The 19,144-nt window shown below is 41.2% G+C and overlaps 2 protein-coding genes across 2 annotated transcripts in view, besides 3 other annotated features; both read left to right on the forward strand.

Moving 5' to 3' along the window:
* FNDC7 (fibronectin type III domain containing 7) overlaps window positions 1-7,350 on the forward strand; it is a 29,842-nt gene extending 22,492 nt beyond the window's left edge. Inside the window, exons 11-13 of the mRNA NM_001144937.3 lie at window positions 2,096-2,125; window positions 6,374-6,442; window positions 6,526-7,350. Of these exons, the coding sequence (NP_001138409.1) occupies window positions 2,096-2,125; window positions 6,374-6,405 (62 nt within the window). The 3' untranslated portion in view covers window positions 6,406-6,442; window positions 6,526-7,350. The remainder of the gene's footprint in view (window positions 1-2,095; window positions 2,126-6,373; window positions 6,443-6,525) is intronic.
* Window positions 10,954-11,524: an enhancer, noted in NCBI's record as "H3K27ac hESC enhancer chr1:109288975-109289545 (GRCh37/hg19 assembly coordinates)". NCBI's record gives its function as "activates a minimal SCP1, AML or CMV promoter by ChIP-STARR-seq in naive and primed H9 embryonic stem cells {active_cell/tissue: H9 hESC(naive and primed)}" and the evidence as "EXISTENCE:reporter gene assay evidence [ECO:0000049][PMID:30033119]".
* Window positions 11,047-11,456: an enhancer, noted in NCBI's record as "active region_1430". NCBI's record gives its function as "activates an Ori minimal core promoter by ATAC-STARR-seq in GM12878 lymphoblastoid cells {active_cell/tissue: GM12878}" and the evidence as "EXISTENCE:reporter gene assay evidence [ECO:0000049][PMID:35858748]".
* The window catches only part of STXBP3 (syntaxin binding protein 3), a 62,850-nt gene continuing 54,980 nt past the window's right edge, over window positions 11,275-19,144 (forward strand). The window contains exons 1-3 of the mRNA NM_007269.4: window positions 11,275-11,387; window positions 16,858-16,907; window positions 17,664-17,745. Coding sequence (NP_009200.2) covers window positions 11,339-11,387; window positions 16,858-16,907; window positions 17,664-17,745 — 181 coding nt within the window. The 5' untranslated portion in view covers window positions 11,275-11,338. The remainder of the gene's footprint in view (window positions 11,388-16,857; window positions 16,908-17,663; window positions 17,746-19,144) is intronic.
* Window positions 11,657-11,776: a silencer, noted in NCBI's record as "silent region_1137". NCBI's record gives its function as "represses an Ori minimal core promoter by ATAC-STARR-seq in GM12878 lymphoblastoid cells {active_cell/tissue: GM12878}" and the evidence as "EXISTENCE:reporter gene assay evidence [ECO:0000049][PMID:35858748]".

A 19,144-nucleotide genomic window follows, 5' to 3' on the forward strand; every position in this document is an offset into this window, starting at 1 on the left:
CTTTTCCATTTCCCCATAAGATAACATTCAATCCTCTGGGCATGGTGTTCACAGTCCCTTATAATCTGTCCCCTGTCTACTTATACCTGCACTGTTCAATAGAAATTTAATATGCACCATGCATGAAAAATTAAATTTTCTAGTAGCCATATTAAAAAAGTAAAAAGAGGTGAAATTAATTTCATAATATATTTTAGTTAACCCAATATATCCAAAATATTATCATTTCAACATCTAATCAATATAAAAATTATTAATAGATATTTTGTACATTTTTCATACTGTCTTTGAAATCTGGTGTGTCTTTTGTACTTATAGTACATTTAGTTCAAACTAGCCATATGTTCAATAGCTACTTCAGTGTCCACTGTACTGGACAGAGAAATTGTTTTTTTTTGTGGGGTTTTTTTGTTTGTTTTTTATTGAGAAAGGGTCTTGCTTTTTCATCCAGGCTAGAGTTCAGTGGTGCAATCACTGCTCAATGCAGCCTTGACCTCCTGGGCTCAAGCAATCCTCCTGCCTCAGCCTCCCAAGTAGCTGGGACTATAGGCATGCCCCACCATGCTTGGCTAATTTTTAAAATTTTTTTGTAGAGACAAGGTCTTGCTTTGTTGCCCAGGCTGGTCTTGAACTCCCGGGCTCAAGCAATCCTCTCGCCGCAGCCTCCCAAAGAGCTGAGATTACAGGCATAAGCCACTGTGCCCAGCCTGAACAGAGAAATTCTAGGCTCATTCCACAACATCCGTCCTGAGAGGACTCTATTCTCTAGTCTAGGCATCTGGCATCATTAACGTGTGCCTGCTTCGGCCACACACACCTCCTATTCTATGTCATGTTCTGGAGCTACTGCAGTGCTCTTCTCTTTGCCCGGAATTCCACCCCACTTCCACCAAGAGAACTCTACTGGCCCCAATTTTCCTTGTCTGTGAAGCCTTCTCCAATTATCATAAGCAGAGTTAGCCCTCTCTCTCTCCCTCCTTTATGACCCCACAGCACCCTTATCTGTACTGCAACATATTACTGTGAATTGAATGTGTGCTTTTCTCCTAATAAATGATTATCTATTTGACTCCCAGTACGTAGCACGTAACTGTTGCCTGATATATTTGAAATTTAAAAAAGAATGAATCAATGAATATACAGCTAAGTGAGTGATGGAAGTCTTTTGTTCTTTCTCCTGCTCCATGCCCACAATTTCACCCTTAGAGAGTCATTCCTCTGAGGGCTGGTTAGCCACCAGAAGTCCTTGTGAGTTAGAACTCAAGTTCTTTGATGGGATGCCATCTCAAGCCTGTAGCCATTTCAGCTTAGTAACATTAGGTATCTAGACTCAAGTTAGGAAATCCTCCTTTGCTCAGTGTCCCTGGTAAAAGCCATACATTTGGGAGATGTTTTTTGGTTTTGTTTGTTTGCAGTATCAGTGATGTCTTATTCTGATAATCAGGACAATATTGTAAATGACAATAACGACTAATGTTTATTGAATGCCATGTGCCAGGCACTGTTCTAAGGGGTTTACATATATTAACTCAGTCCTTACAACAAACCTATCAGCTTGGCATTCTTTTTTTTTTTTTTTTTTTTTTGAGATGGAGCCTTGCTCTGTCACCCAGGCTGGAGTGCAATGGCGCAATCTCAGCTCACTGCAAACTCCGCTCCCCAGGTTCAAGTGATTCTCCTCCTCAGCCTCCTGAGTAGCTGGGATTACAGGTGTGCACAACTACCATGCCCGGCTAATTTTTGTATTTTTTGGTAGAGATGGGGGTTTCGCCATGTTGGCCAGGCCGGTCTTGAACTCCTGACCTCAGGTATCTGCCCACCTGGGCCTCCCAAAGTGCTGGGATTACAGGTGTGAGTCACTGCGCCCAGCTGAGCTTGGTATGCTTATTCTTACTGCTTTTCAGATAAATTGAGGCACAGTAAAGTGACTTGCCCAGGTCATACTGCTAGTAGTATCTCCTTCTCTTATCACCCAAGTTCGTTCTTGTTCGTTTTTTGGTTTACTTTCCTTTTATTCTTTCTTAAGTTAAATCTTCACTATCTTAAATACATAAATGAATAGATTTTATTTTAAATGCTTGTGTTTTTATTACAGTAACTTGCTCTGGAAGTACACTTGGAATGGGTAAGTCATTTTTCTCATGGATAAAATAGAACAGGATTTTTGTTGCTCCATTTTGGGGTTAATGAAGTCAGCTGACTTTTCAATTAGAAAGCAAATGCTTTCTTTCTTTGATACAAGGGGCTCCTGCTCTCTTATCCCATGACTTTTTCTCCCCATTATAGTGCCTCCTCTGAGATTCCACCAGTTGAGATGAATTTCTTTGAATTCTGAAGTCTTTTTAGTATTCTAGGATCCTACAGGAAAATGTAAATAGTTTTGGGAGGGGCAGCGGCTTCATCCCTCACACTTCAGAAAGTGATTCCCAGCTCAGCTGTACACTGGAGTCACCTGGAGAGCTTAAAATTAACTGATGTCTGGTTCTGTCCCCAGAAAGTTTGATTTAATGGGTCTGGGGTGAGAGCTGGGCATCAGGAGTTGTAAAAGCTCTTCAGGTGATTCTGAAGTATAGCCAAGGCTAAGAACTGCTACTTTAGAGCCGTGCTTCTCAAACTTTATTGTGCACACACATCACCTGGGGCCTCGTTAAAGCCAGATTCTGATTTGGTCGGTGTAGGAAGTGTCTGAGACTCCGTATTTCCATAAGGTCCAGGTGATGCTGGCGATGCCGAGGCTGCTGGTCTGACCACACATGGAGTAGCCAGGAGTTAGAGAGAATCTGTTAACGGCCTGCAGAGAGCTACGATGTTTGCTCCTGGTTTGCATGAGTGGGTATACCCCGTGGAGAGAGAGGGTGCTGAAAGGGCAGTTGGAATAAAGAGAACCCTCACTGCCTCCTTGGTTTTGCTCAGGGATGATCTTGTCTAGGCTATTTTGGTTGCCCCCACAGAGATGACTCTTGGCAGGGCAGTGGAGATGAGCAAATGGAGCCATGAGTGTTGACCCAGTAAGCAGTGTATGCTGCCTCATGAGGAGTCCTTGCCACAGCCTTTTAGGGGACAGCTTGGTCTGGGGCCTTAGGAAAAAATCCCCTGGGAATATTATCAACCCCAAACTACAGAACTTCTCTCCCGCCCACCCCCACCCCACCCCTCCCCATTCAGACATGGCTGATTTTGAATGGTGTGAGTGTAAATGAAGCCTTCTTGCCCGTAAACCCCACTGGACAGCCTTCCAGTCGGGGCTGGCTCCCCACCCACACCCCCTTCCACTGGCAGGAACTGGGTCTAGAGTCTCCACTCCCTGTTCTCTGCCTGGGCTCCCTTCCTCTCCCAGTCTATTGCTTCTCTGAGCACAGCAGGTTACACACTTTTCAATTCCTGTCCCACCTGCAGGTCTGAAATAAGCACAATCCTTATTAATTTTTCAAGAGTTTTTGTTTTCTATGACTACAAAAAGGAACAGACTTGGCTTACTGAAAACAAACTGTGAGGACACTTCTAATTATAAAAAAGTCTCCCAAAGTAGTAGAGACCATACACCCTGGTCTTCAGTGAAAGGTACATGGACCTAGGTCTGCATTCTTTAATCAGTATCTCCCTGAGACATAGAGGTGTGGTAGAAGTGTCCTAGGTCCCCAGGGGAGAGGAGTGGTGTATGATATATTGGCCTTGCCTATGATTTTGTTCAAGGAAGGGTTTCAAATAAAAACAAAAAAAATAAAAATGTAAAAATGTAAAAAAAAAAATTTAAAAATGTTTGAAAAGAAAGAATGTCTATGTTTTAACAAAAAACACAAAAGGTGGGGTGGCAAGGAGAGCAGGCATGGTGGCTCACGCCTGTAATCTCAGCACTTTGGGAGACCAAAGCAGGATTGCTTGAGCCCTGGAGTTGGAGACCAGCCTGGCCAACAAAACGAGACCTTGTCTCTACAAAGTGTAAATAAAGTAGCCAGGCATGGTGGCATGTGCCTGTAGTTCCCCTGTAGTCCCAGCTACTTGGGAGGGTGAGGTGAGAAGATTGCTTGAGGCTGGGAATTCAAGGCTGCAGTGAGCTATGATAGCACCACTGCGCTCCAGCCTGGGTGACAGAGTGAGACACCAGCATCACCAGAGAGCTTTTTAGAAATGTACAGTCTTGGGCCCCATCCTGACCTACTAAATCCCCAGGTGATTCGTGCATGTATTCAAGTTTGAGTAGCACTGCTTAGGTACTGCTCTTAAACTCTGCTGTGTATTAGAATCTCCTGGACAGTTAATAATGAATGCAGAGGCCCAGGTCCTGGCCTAGTGAAGTGCCTCTATATTTCCATCAGGTTCCCAGGTGATTTTGATACACATGAAGTTTGAGGAGCACTGCTTTAGATCACTAATGTCCTCTTTTCTGTCCTTCTAGGCTTCAGCTTATCTTCACCATTCCCTTCCTTAGCCAGGGCTCAGTCTTTAGCCTGAAATCTGCTACTCTCTTGAAGTAGATATTTGTAGAAATCCTGTAGGAGCCAGACACAGTGTCACACACCTGTAGTCCCAACTATTCAGGAGGCTGAGGTAGAGAATCACTTGAGCCCAGGGGTTTGAGGCCGACCTTGGCAACATAGTGAGAGCCCCCTGCCCTCAACGCCATCTCTCTAAAAAAAAAAAAAAAAAAAAATCCCGCAAGGCCCTCCAAAAACAAGAGTAAGCCAGATTATTTGAGGGTTTCTAAGGTCATATGGAAGTCATTATATCTAGGGGGAAATTCTAAATTGCTGTCTTCAATTTCAGCATTTCCCCTCCCCAAACACAGAGCAAGTCCAATCAGGTCCCTGGGCTGACATTGGAGCCTCTGGATATGCTGAGGGGAGCCATGGGAATCTTGCTGGTCTAAGGTTTTCTTTGGGTTTTCTTTGACTCTTGGAGTATCCTAAAGCTTTTCAAACTTTTTTTTTTTTTTTTTTTTTTTTTTTGAGATGGAGTTTTGCTCTGTCATCCAGGCTGGAGTGCAGTGGTGCAATCTCAGCTCACTGCAACCTCCACCTCTGGGATTCAAGCGATTCTCGCGCCTCAGCCACTTTAGTAGCTGGGATTACAGATGTGCGCCACCACACTTGGCTAATTTTTGTATTTTTAGCAGAGATGGGGTTTCACTATGTTGGCCAGGCTGGTCTTGAACTCCTAGACTCATGCGATCCACCTGCCTTGGCCTCCCGAAGTGCTGGGATTACAGGCGTGAGCCACCGCACCGGCCATAAACAGACTTTTTAAGAGAGATCTGGATTCAAATCCTGCCACCATCACTTGCTCTTAGTCAAGTTGTGTAAATTCTCTCTGAGCCTAGGTTTCCTCATCTGAAAATTAGAGTAAATAATAATCCCTCATAAAAGAAAATCAGGATTAAATGAGAATGTAAATTATTGGACACAATAATAGGCTCATAACAACTACTTAATAAATGGTAGTTGTTAATTCATATTCAGTTTAAGCTCATATCACATTCTATTATGTACCAATTATTAACATTTTAATGTGCTACTTCTAACGAAGACATTTGCATTTTAACCTTGGTCCTCATAATACACTTCCTCATTGATTCTCTAAGTGTGGTCCTGGTGCCAAAAGTATCAGCATCAGCTGGGAACCTCTTAGAAATGCAATTTTTCAGACTCTTCCACAGACCTATTGAATCAGAAATTCTGGGGCTAGGGCCCAGCCTTCTTTGTTTCAACAAGCCCTCAAAGTGCTTCTGATGGATGCTAAAGTACAAAAAGCATGGCTTTAATTCAAGAAAGCTATTTCAATGCTGGAAATTTGATGCAAGTTGGAAGGGAAAGGAAAAAAAAAACCTATTTGAGGTGATAGCGGCTCTAACAAGAGGTAGATAGATGGGAGGGGTTTGTGCCTGACATCACACCATGAGCAGGGGCTGGGGGTGTTCCTTCATCTTTAGGACCCAACATGTTTCAGTGTCACCTGTACATCCTGGGCAACTTTGAGGAAGCTTCCTCTCTGTGACATACTTAGCAGCTAAACAGGTTTATGTTTTCCATATAAAACTCCCTGAGTCATTAAAATTTTGGAGTTCCCTGAGGAGCACAGCAAGTTGGCCTGGGGGTGAAAAGGAAAGTCCTTTTGTTTTGAACCAGTGGTCTGGGATTAAAGAGACTCTGGGAGGGTTCATTTGGTGAAGCAGGAGAGAGACTGCTCTGGTTAGAAACTGCTGATCAGTTTGAACACTTTGTCAGTTGTCATAGTTTCATGTTTACTTGCCGTGAAGTGCTGCAAAAATAGCATTTCAAATCAACATACACATAAAATCTCAGACACTGGTGCTTTTTAAGAAAATGTCTGCATATTGAATGCATCTTTTACTGCTTCCCTTCCTTACCCTTTTCAGTGATTTATAGAGGGAAGAGAAATGAAGAATGACAAAGTGAGCCCCAGATAAAAACAAAAACTTGACCAAGTGAGTAACGTAAATTGATTTTGTGTGATTTTATGGCAAAGTTTTTTGTCTTTGTTTAAAATGTTTTCCCATTTGTCTTGCAGAGTTGTCTCATTTGTTAGTGATTAGAGATGGAAAAGATCTACTAGAATGTAGAATAAAAATGCCTCTAGGATAGGAAAAGCTCCTTTGGCCTTTAGAAGAACAACTCTGACTCTGCTTCCTGAGGGCAAGGTCAGGTGTGTCCTCACCTGCACAGCAGTTGGAGATCTGCTATGTGAGGACTCTGGAGAGAAATGAATCCAGAAAGTCCCCTGGACGGCTGCTAGCCTGAGTTGGCACACTGTGAGAACCCTGGAAACAAGAAAGTTCTGCTTAGCAGAAATTCTGAGATTTCACATCCACACACACCACAGACTTCAACACATCCACTTCATGAGTGTTTTACAACAGCACTTGTCTGCAGCCCCCTCAGGGGCTGGAAATGTTCACTCCCAGAAAGTCAAGCCACCCACATGCAGACAGCACTTATCCCAAGACAAACCTCCAGCAGGACTTCAGTATAGGTTGGAAAGCAGTAGCTGCCAGGGCAACCTGAGATAACAAACGCCCTCATCGCAAGTTAGGAGCAAAGCTGAGCTGCTTGCAGGGTTCGCTGAGCCAAAGCATCAGGTGGCGTGACATCTATGGGAGCATCTGGGAAAGCAGAGCTGCCAGCCTGTTGCTAGAAGGGTTGCAGTTATGCTTTCTGCATGAGAGAAGATGTCAAATGGAGAGCCTCAAACTGTGGCCGACTGACATGCGTGCATCTTTTGGGGGAGGACCATCCATCTTATTGGCCATATCCCCCACTCATATTGTAATTACTTTTTTCATCTTTGGAGGGGGAAGGCAATGAAATATAACATAAATCTCTCATACCTAAAAAAGTTTGTCCTTCAAATATCAGTAACCTAATTTAAAACATGTGAGTAGACTTGTATAACACACACACGCACATGCACACACACAGTTATAGTGCTTGCTCCCCAAACACATGGCTATGGAGCCAAGCATGTCTCTAGTTAGGAACAACCATAAAACTCTGCCCAGGGGGAATTGGACCATGGAATTAGGCTCGAACTAAGCATGGAAGAAAGAACAAACTTCCCTTTCTGTTCTCTCAACTTCCTATCAACGTGCGCTGCAAGAGAGAAGTGATATGCTTTCTCTATGAGACTGATCAGAGATACGTAATGGGTCACTAATAAGAGATCTTCCCCAGAACATCTGTACATGAACAGAGACAAGCCAAAGGTATATATCTCTAAAAATGGAATTGGAAGCATCAGAGAGCACACCTAATACCCTACAAATACCAAGGCACAGAAAGTGAAATAGCCATCTGCCTAGCTAGGCACCTAAGGCTGAATTGTTTTGGTCAGAATGTCACAGAAGAAAATGTGATCCACAGTGGGTAAAGATAAAATTAGGTTATTTAACGTGTATATAGCACAAACTACCAGCTTGTAAGTGCTCTCCATATGCTCGTTTTATTCTCATAACAACCCTACAAGCTAAGTAATAACATTATCTCCTTTATACAGGTAGGGAAAAACGGGCCCAGAAAGGTCAAGTAGCCCACCCATGTTCACACGGCTAATCAGTTCAAACACAAAGTTTCAGGGAGAGAAGTAAGTAGCATTGGTTAGACCTGCTAATTCATGCTATCTTTCAGTTAAAATTTTAATTTTAATTATTATGGGTACATAATAGTTGTATATATTTATGGGGTACATGTCACATTTTGATACAGGTATACAATGTATAATGATCAAATCAGGGTAATTGGGGCATCCATTACCTCAAGCATTTATCATATCTTTATGTTAGGTACCCATGATATCTTTTGTTTTTTTTTGTTGTTGTTGTTGTTTTTGTTTTTTTGAGATGGCGTCTTGCTCTGTCGCCCAGGCTGGAGTGCAATGGCGTGATCCCAGCTCACTGCAACCACCACCTCCTGGGTTCAAGCGATTCTCCTGCCTCAGCCTCCCGAGTAGCTGGGACTACAGGCACCCGCCACCACGCCCAGCTAATTTTATACTTTCAATAGAGACGGGGTTTCACCATGTTGGCCAGGATGGTCTCGATCTCTTGACCTTGTGATCCACCCGCCTCTGCCTCCCAAAGTGCTGGGATTACAGGCGTGAGCCACCGCGCCCGGCCTCCCATGATATCTTTATGGAAAATATTTCTCTAGATTATTATGAATAAGTGATCGCTTATTAGAGGAGATCTGGGAATAGGATAGTGAGTGAGTGATCTGCCCTAACTCAAGTGCGTGTACATTCAACCCTCGGTTATTTTGGCCATTTACCTGCTCTGAATTATACAAAGCAGCTTTTCATCCCTGGCCAGTGTTAGCAGATTTTACCTTCTACTTTGCTGTGTCACATTTAGGGAATCCAAGTTCATTTTTCAATTTGTTTAGGCAAGCAAACTAGAGGAGACGTAGAGAAACTGCTTAGGGAGCTTATGCAAATCTAGGGGAGCCTGGGAGGATAGGCAATTTGGTACACTAGAAAGAGCAATGGCCTTGGAGCCAGATGGATCCAGATCCTAGCTCATTTTGAGATTTTTCATGATTTATTTAACCTCCCTGAGACTCAGTTTTCTCATATGTAAAATGGCAATGGTCATCTTGCTGGGCTGTTGCGAGGTTTGAGATAATATATTCATATTCAGCACACAGGTGCAATGAAACTGAGGTGTTTGAGGTCACACTGCTAGTAAGAGGCAGAGCCAGATTTTGTAGGATGTAAACCTATGCCTACGTGCAGTTAAAGACCATGCTTGCTCCACTATTCCGCAGTGCCACCAAGGACTCTGGCCTTCAGGAGCATGAGCCAGAACTGCACCCCATGTGACCAGAGTCAAACTTCCAACCCAGAGGGACCTGTATTATTCCCTGGCACCTGGTCATTCTCCTGAAGGGTAAGAGATGGAGGCACCTCACCCATCTCACTCTTCCCTCTTGGTTTGGCTCTTCAGAGCAAGGGGCTTCACCTCAGAAGGGTGAATTTTCCCTGGCACATATTTTTCTTATGGATTGGGGCTTCACCCTGCTAAACTAAGCAGAACCTAACTTAAAATGAAAAGGGAGAGGGAAATCATATGTGCACTTGTTTAAAACATTGAGCAACTGAATCAATTTAGAGTAGGTTTAAAGGAGGTCAGGGCTCCAGCTTCTATTCTCATATAAGCCTTGAACAGAAAAACCACTCAGCCATAGGTTGTGCCAGAACCCATTTTATGGCCTTTTTTATTGTTAGATACAGGGTCTCATTCTGTTCCCCAAACTGGAGTACAGTTGCATGATCATAGCTCACTGCAGCCTGGAACTCCCAGGCTCAAGCAGTCGTCCTACGTCAGCCTCGCAAGTAGCTACGACTCCTCAGCTTGCAGGTAGCATGCGCCATCATGCCCAGCTAACTTTTTTATTAATTTTTTTTTTTTTTTTGGTGGAGACAGCAGTCTTGCTATGTTGCCCAGGCTGGTCTTAAACTCCTGGCCTCTATCAGTCCTCCTGCCTAGGCCTCCCAAAGTGCTGGGATTACAGGTGTGAGCCACCATGCCCAGCCTGTTCTTAATTCTTCATTTGCCTTTCCTCTCCTAAAAATTGCAGGTTACCCCACAGACTACTCTATTGCTTTCCATGTAGCCCAAGCCTGATCTTTGTTCCCACTCCACCACTAAGTGCATCCTTGGCAAGTTACTTGACTTCATTAAGCCTCAGTTTCCTTGTTGTAAGTGTTGCTTTGAGGATCAGTGAGGTAATCTACTTAGCATGGTGCCTGGCATATGGTAAGTAAGCACTCAGTAAATATTAGACATTATTATTAGTAGTAGTATCTAACCACTTCTACTTCCCTGTGTGACCAATTTGAATCTTTACAGCCACTGGTTCTTTGCAAATCCTTCTAGGAAAGCCTACTTTCTGCCAATGTCACATGGTTATCTCACAGTTAGGGCTCTTAGCAACTAAACTGATCTCACTTACGTTTGATTACTTTGATTTAAAGTCCCAAAGGAACCATCTCAGTAAACAGATCTCTACCTAAACTTTCTGAGCTCAGATCTCCTCCTCTGTGAATCAACTTTCAACAATAATTGTAGATTCTGAAGCATTAACAGGCCCTCCCTACATTTGTTGCATAAATTTGTTAATAAATGATTATTCTTTTGTTGGTTCATTTATGTATATCTTATCATTAAGGCATTCAATTTTTAAACTAAGTTTTAACTACCTGCAGCATTCCAGGAATTGTGCTCTTTAATTAGATTGTAAATTATTCAGGGGAAAGAGTTGATCTCTCATTTCTTTGAGTTTCCTAAAAGTCCAGCACAGTTCTTGGCACACTGGAGGGAACCTCACAGTTCTACGCAATTACTGTGTCCTTGAAAAAATGAATGAAATAATCATTTGGGGACAGTACATTTTCCATTGGGTAGTTGGGCTGGCTACTGAGTGAAGTCTATTATGAATCGCCTTGCGAAGTGAAGGGTTCTTCTGTAATGGGGAGGATCCTCCAGTCTTCGTGTATGTGTGAACTCGGAATTTCATAGACGGCCTTGGCTCACGATCGGTTTGGCACTTCGCGTTCCTAGGCCACAGGACGTCGAACCTCGGGCGACAGCAGCCTCCCGCTAGGGGGCTCCCGACTTCCCACGGAGGTTCCACCTGTACTGCGCAGCCTCCGTCCGGGAGTGGGCGGAAATTCCCTTGCTGACGCGCGTGACGTCACCGGAGGGCGCGGTCTGCTAGAGGGGGTGGGGCATTCCCCTGCAGCAAGGGGCGGGGCCACCCCAACGCCGCTTCTGCGGCCAAAGTAGGTTGGGAGTGGAAGGTGGTGGCTGCTGCTCCGCAGTGTCGGGAAGATGGCGCCGCCGGTGGCAGAGAGGGGGCTAAAGAGCGTCGTGTGGCAGAGTGAGTGCGGTGGGGTAGGGGTTGAGAGAGGGAAGGCCGGGAGGCTGCCGTGCCGGGCCTCGTTTTGCAGCCCCAACCCAGCGGTCTGTTGAGGAGCCGCCGCGAGCACTTGTTGCTTTGGGACCTGTGTGAGGACTTCTTCCTGCTTTCCTGCCCTGCCTTATTCCTTGCCAGCACCAGGGATGGGCGGGGTGCGACGGGACGCGGCCTTCTCGTTGGCGTCGGGCACCCCCTCGCCTCGGCCGCGCTCTGGCCGCGAAGCTCCGCCCCGGGTGAGCCGCCCGGCCCGGCTTTCCCTCCCGCGGAGCCCGTGCGTGCCCTCGGCCGCGCTCCCCACTCTTCTCCGCTCCCGTCCGCGCTCCACCAGTTGGGGATGTCTCTCCATCCGAGACAATTCGGGCGCTGTTTATTCCGCCCCCATCTCCACCCCACACTGGAGTTTGCAAGGACTGTTTATTCTGCTTATTCGTGTTAGTATCAACCCGTGCTTTTCAAAAAACCTCACTGTTTAACAGACTCATCTTCCCCTATTCCGAGAGGAGCCTACTTTCTGAAAAGTTCTTGAGAAGAGACCATTGGAATGACCGGTGTCCAGCCGTGACATCTTCCTGCATAGCCTGGGCAAGAGCCGCTCCTTCCGTTTTCCCTACTCTCGGGGGCCCCTCCCTGCTGTTAGGACCGGACTCCTTATTGGTTACTGATGTTCTGCGGTATCATCCACAACTTTCATAAACATCGCTCCAAACCTAGGTCTGGCAGGTTAGAGAAAGAATGAAACCACCCAACAGGAATAACCATCATTGTTTGGTATCTCTGAGTTCAAGATAATTATGGCCTAGTAGTGGAAAGGGAGTAGCATCTAATTAGTATTTCTTAGTCCAACTTGTTGAACAAAAAACAAATGATTTAGTCAGCAGAATTCTGGGAGTTAGAGTTCCTTGTCTAAAATTAAAAATCCAAATCAGTAACTGGGATAGTGCTTAACATATAGCAGGCACTAAGCAAATGTATAAATAGGTGAAAAATATGAAATTATCTTTTAAAAGATTAGATAATTTTAAGGTTGGCATTTGCTTTTTCAAGATTTACATGGCTGACTTAAGATTTGAGATGTTTTAAAACAATGGTATTTAAATACATTTATGTGAAAATGGGTAACAAATTGTGTTGTATAATTTCCAAGATATATATGTGATTAACATCCGCATGTATGTATTTAAGCCAGTTCTTTACATATTGAATCATAAGCTTTTCCCTTTTTCACATTTTCCTTCTGATCCTCATACAGATAAAGACATTGTTTTTATTATCTGTCATTCTGTGACTTCCTTTTTTTTAAACAACTGACATTGACTCAACATTTTTCATGTTGCTTCACAATCTCGTAATTAACATTTTAAATTGCTTTTTAAATACCTTGAGGTGGCAAAAAATTTTGATAGCAGAAAAGAAAAGAAAAAATTATGGCCAGGTGCAGTGGTTCACGCCTGTAATCCCAACACTTTGGGAGGCCGGGGCAAGATGATCACCTGAGCCTAGGAGTGGGCAACAAAGTGAGACCCCATCTCTACAAAAAAATTTTAAAATTAACCATGTTTGGTGACATGCACCTGTGTTCCCACCTACATGGGAGGCTGAGGCAGGAGGATCCCTTCAGCCCAGGAGGCTGAGGCTGCAGTGGACATTGATTGTGCCACCGCACTCCAGCCTGGGTGACAGAGCAAGACCCTGAGTCTAAATAAATAAATAAATAGCTAGCGTAAGCCCGGGCACAGTGGCTCACGCCTGTAATTACAGCACTTTGGGAGGCCAAAGCAGGTGGATTGCTTGAGCTCAGGAGTTCGAGACCAGCCTGAGCAACATGGTGAAACTCTCTCTCTATCAAAAATACAAAAATTAGCCAGGTGTGGTAACGCACACCTGTGGTCCCAGCTACTCGGGAGGCTGAAGTGGGAGGATCGCTGGAGCCTGGGAAGTTGAGGCTGCAGTGAGCAGTGATCATGCCACTCAATTCAGCCTGGGTGACAGAGCATAACTCAGTCTCAAAAAACAAAAACAAAAATTATTTGGGTAACTTTTGGACTAGTGGAAGATTAATTTAGAGATTAGGTAGAAGCCAGTCAGTGGAGGATGTTAAATAGTAGAGTTTAGATTTTATTCTATAAGCAAGAGTGAGCATTTGAGGGAATTTCGAGGTGTGTATTAATATAAACAAAGGGTTGTATTTCAGGAAGGTGACTCTGACAGCTGTGTGAAAAATGGATTGAAATAGCAAAGGTGTTGGAGGTGGAAAGCAGGAAATCCAGATAGGATTCTATTGCAGTACTTCAGTGAGAGAGAAGAATCAAGTCGATGCTGGGTGACAGTAGCAATGAAAAATAATAGCTACCAGGGAGAACAATCAATATGCCTAATAGGTGGGCGTGGGGAAAGGAGGAAATAGACAAAGACAATGACTAAGAAAATGACAATAATACTTAGAGAAATAAGTCTAGAGTAGTTTTCAGGGTGCTGTAATCTCAACTTGAGACATGTAGCTGCTTGTATCTGTATTGCGTAGTTGAATGAAGTTCAAAGAGAGAAAGGCTGTAAGATTGTGGAAAATCGAAAGATTAATATGATAGATGAAACTTTGATGATGAATATGGTCTCTGAGAAGACCAGCCACAGGAGCAAATTCTCTTACCTTTGCTCTGAGAACAAGCAGAGCAAAAGTAAGAGAATTGAGTCTTGAGATATATCCATATTTAGGATGCTAGAGAAATGGATATAAGGTCAAATGATTTTCATTAGTATTTAGAGGAAATACCTCCTTAGTTCTATAGTATTTGTTGATATGATTTCCTTTGACTCCTCTCTAAACATACCTACCTGTGACTGTGTCACTTTTTATGGGTGCCCTTACTATCTCCATAAAACTAGTTCGTTCTTTTAGACAATAACACTGACTCTGTAGGTATCTTCAGATTCTTTTTATTTTTTCGTCTGGCAGACACAGGTAGATCCAAGTATCTTCAGATTCCAAGACAGTTCTATCATTAGAAATTTAAAGCACATATGTAATTTTAAATTTTCTAGTAGTCACATAAAAAGGTAAAAAGAAAAAGGTAAAATTAATATATTATATTTGACCTAATAAGTTTTTTACATTCCTTTTTTTGTGCTAAGGTTTTTTGAAGTCTCATATGTATTCTGTACTTACAGGATATCTCAGTTCAGACTAGCCACATTTCAGGTGCTCAATAGCCAGATATGGCTGGTTTCCACCATCTAGGACAATGCAGTTCTAAGGTTTCAAAGACTGTAATGAGATGACTTCTGCTTGGGGAGCTTTTCTCCAATCTGCTCCATCATAAATTCCATGAGCATTCATTTCTTAAGAGAAAGACACAAATAAATCTGATAAAAACAAGCAAATGTCTTCAATTTTCAGCTGTTTGAGGTATAAGGAATGAAGCTAGCTTTGAAAGGAAAAGCAGCATAATATTTCTGTATCTGAGCTCTACCGGAGAAAATCCTTTATTTTTGCCTGTAGGGTTCTAGAAGCCAGCGCTTTTGGCTTAAATTATGGTTAAATATTTCGGACTTTCACCATAATTCTCATATAACACTATAATCCTCCTAGCAAACAATATATAATTATCTCAATTGATATTTCATAACACTTCCAAATCTTCTCAATCACAATACAACCTTCCAGATCACAATTCTAAAAATGACTATAAATAACTGAATTGCTTTTACTAACAACATTTCTGACACCAAATATGTGTTTTATTCCCCCCTCACACCAACCAGTTCTCCAACTCTGGACACCAGCTGTATTAGTGTCAGAATTGAAATGAATTGTAGGATATCCAGTTAGTTAGGAACTAGTTAGCTAGGAACACTAGTTAGTGTCAGACTCCACAGGTTTAAGGGCTCAGTCTCACAATACTGCCTTCACTTCAAATGCCAGTACCAAGTCCCTAGGTTACCCACACTTCTGTCTGTCTTGGCTACAAAGTCAGGAATTCCTACAACCTCCCTTCCCTTTCAGGTTCATTAATTTGCTGGAATGGCTCACAGAACTTCAGAAAACGCTTAACTTACTATTACCAGTTTATTACAAAAGATACAAATGAACAGCCAGGTTGGAGAGGTACATAGGGTAAGGTCAAAAAAGGTCCTAAGCATAGGTGCTTCTATCCACATGGAGTTGGGTGTCTCACCCTCCTGGCACATGGTTTGTTCACCACCTTGGGAGCTCTCCAAACTCTCTTAAGGGGTTTTTATGGAGGCTTCATTATATAAGCATGAATGATTACATCACTGGTGATTGAACTCAATCTCCAGTCCCTCTTCTTTCCCAGAGGTCCTGGGGTGGGGCTGAAAGTTCCAACCCTCTAAACATGGCTTGGTCTGGTGACCAGCCCTCAATCTAAAGCTGTATAGGGGCCCCTCACCCAAGAGTCATTTCATTTGCAGACGGAAGAGATGCTATCACTCAGGAGATTCCAAGGTCTTTAGGGGCTCTGTGCTAGGAACAGGGGGTAAAAACCAAATATTTTTTATTGTACCACAGTAACTGTTATTATTTATACCCTCTGATAGAAGAGCCGTCAGTTTTTAACATGACTTGTTACCAAAAACTTGTTGATAAATTTCCCAAAAGCATTAACTTAAATATAAATTAGGAAATAGAAAAGCTTAAGTTAATGAAATAACCATCTCATTAATAAGATTTAATGAAAAATAGGTTACTATAATTTATATTTTAATTATATTTTATGTATTACTATGTATTACTACCGATTTTAAAATCAATTGAACATTAATAAAACATAGTGTGGGAAATTGTTTTATTAAGTAGAACAGATATTTGTATAAATTGTCCACATGAATTATTTAATACATAATGGAAAATGTTTTTAAATCAGTGAACTAATTTTTAAAACATATTTAGATAATTTTGAAAGTCATTGTAAGGAACATATTTATTGATTATAAATCAAGACTGAATATTGGTATCCAAATGCTGTGATATGTATTGTTGAAAAGCATAATGTAGTAAATCAGTATGAAAAATGTTTATGCAGATTTGATCATCAGATATAATTTAGCAATGGGCAACTTAAGGATGTTCCCGTGGGTTTTTTGTTTTCATCTTGTTTTACTTGGGATTTAAGTAGAATAGGAAAAACCAAATCAGGTAATAATTTTAGAAATATTTTCTCGGTACGTTCATGTACTTAAATATATTAACCCTTTTTATAATACCTTTTAAAGTTAAAAAATTGATTACAGTTTAAATGTACTGTATAGGCTAGGTATTAGAATTGGATTTTTCCGTAAGGTTTAACAAATATGTATGCTTTTTATGTAGTTTAACAAATTTCAAATTGGATTTTTCCTTAGCCATTTTGGACCCTTTGGATTACTATGTTTCTGTTTATTTAATTCCTAAGTAATTCCTTTCTTTTTTAAACAGAGATAAAAGCAACAGTGTTTGATGACTGCAAGAAAGAAGGCGAATGGAAGGTAGAGTTTGCATACCTTGCTCTTATAAAAAATAATACAAACTTTAAAAACAATACAGTATAAAAACTACATAGTATTTACATGGTATTAGGTATTCTAGTATAAGTAATCTAAAGATAATTTGACGTATGTGGGAGGATGTGTGTAGGTTACATGCAAACACTACACTATTTTATATAAGAGATTTGAGCATCCATGGATTTTTGGTATACACAGGGGTCCTCGAACCCCCATGGATACCGAGGGATGACTATATAGGGTCTGGAATCACACTGCTTGGCTCCAAATACTAACTTCACCACTTAATAGCTGTGGCTCCTTGCACAAGTTACTTGACCTCTCTCTGCCCCATTTCCTTGTTTATAAAAATGGTGATGGTAATACCTCATATGGTAATTGTAAATATGAGGTGAATTAATCCATGGAAATTACTTAAAACAGTGCTTTGTGCAATAATTGTTCTACAAGTGGCAATTGTAATTTTAAGAAAATTTGATGTTAAACAGTGTCATTCAAAATGAATAAGCTCTATGTTTCAAATTAGAAATATTTCTGTTTGTTTACTTATGTACGATACTATATGCATGTATATTGAGAAAATCTCTAGCTCATGCAAGATAAAAGATGAGATCATTTTGCCTACTGTTCTGATATTTTGTGTTATAAAAGGCTTATAAAGTTTAATGGATAAAATTCTTTTTTTCATTCTTGGTAATAGGATGCTTACAGTATTTTTAAATTTGTGTTTGTTTTAAGATAATGCTTTTAGATGAATTTACCACTAAGCTTTTGGCATCGTGTTGCAAAATGACAGATCTTCTAGAAGAAGGTATTACTGGTAAGTGTTATTCTTGGCATGAACACTTTTTAATTGTAATTGGGGGAGATCTGAGGTATTAAATTTTAGTTAGTAGTTGTGTTTCTAAGGAGCTTATTTTTTTAAATTACTGTAGCCATAACTATTAGATTTAACATTCTTTTCTCTGAATCTTCTGTCAGTTTTTTTCCCTCAGCCGAGACATATAATTAAGACCTCTAACCAAGCCTAACTTAATTGCTTTGTTGAGGTTGTTCTTTAAATGTTTTACTCATATATACATATATATATATAAAACAATTTTGTATATTGATACACAAGCTTTACTTCAGTATTTTGATTTAGTTTATGGTTTCATATATCGCTTTAAAATGGATATCAAGATTTATGTCATAAAATCAGCTGTTGTACATGTTTACAAATGCATAATGCTGACTTCGTAAATTTATCTTTATTACCAGAAATGAGACAAATAATTATAAGTTTAAATCAGTTTTAGTATGAAAATTTGAAATACTTACAGATTCTGAAAAAAAATCATAATGTCATAAGAAGTTATCTTCCTCTAGGCGGGATTATGTTATTGAGATATTAATCTGTATTACCTATTGAGGAAAATACCAATATCTTGTAACATGCATAATCATGTTATTCTTAATTCATCATCCTTTAACTCACTTATTAAAATTTGATCTTCATAATAACCCTATGAAGACAGATAAATACTCTCATTTGTAATGAGGAATCTGAGGCTCCAAGTGAAATATAATTCATTTATATTTTGGATCCTAATGTAGTTTATGTACCGTCTGTTACTCCTAACTTAATGAAGTTCAAAAGTATACCCAGTATTCTCAAGAAAGTCTGACCATATAATATTTATGTTTTGATGTTTACACATAAAATAATCTTTTTTTTTTTTTTTTTGAGACAGGATCTCACTCTGTCACCCAGGCTGGAGTGCAGTAGTGCGATTTTGGCTCACTGCAGCCTCCTCCTCCTGGGTTCAAACAATCCTCCCATCTCAGTCTCCGAAGTAGCTGGGACTACAGGCACACACTAGCACACCCAGCTAATTTGTATATTTTCTTGGATAGAAACAGGGTTTCACCATGTTGCCCAGGATGGTCTCAAACTCCTGGGTTCAAGTAATCCACTTGCCTTGGCCTCCCAAAGTGCTGGGATTACAGGTGTAAGCCACCATGCCCAGCCATAAAGTAACCTTTATTGTTTATTACATATTCAATTGTGGTCTTTCTGACCCTCAATGTAAAAAGCTCTAAACTAGAAATTAGAAAATTGAAGCCTTGATTTTTCTACTCCTGGATAAGTGAAATATTGATTAAGCCACTTAAGTTTTTTAAGTTCTGAAAGGTCATTCTGATGTGAAACTAGGGTGAGAACCATTTGATAATACATA

Source organism: Homo sapiens, chromosome 1, assembly GCF_000001405.40.
Source record: "Homo sapiens chromosome 1, GRCh38.p14 Primary Assembly".
In the NCBI taxonomy this organism is placed as follows: Eukaryota; Metazoa; Chordata; class Mammalia; order Primates; family Hominidae; genus Homo; species Homo sapiens.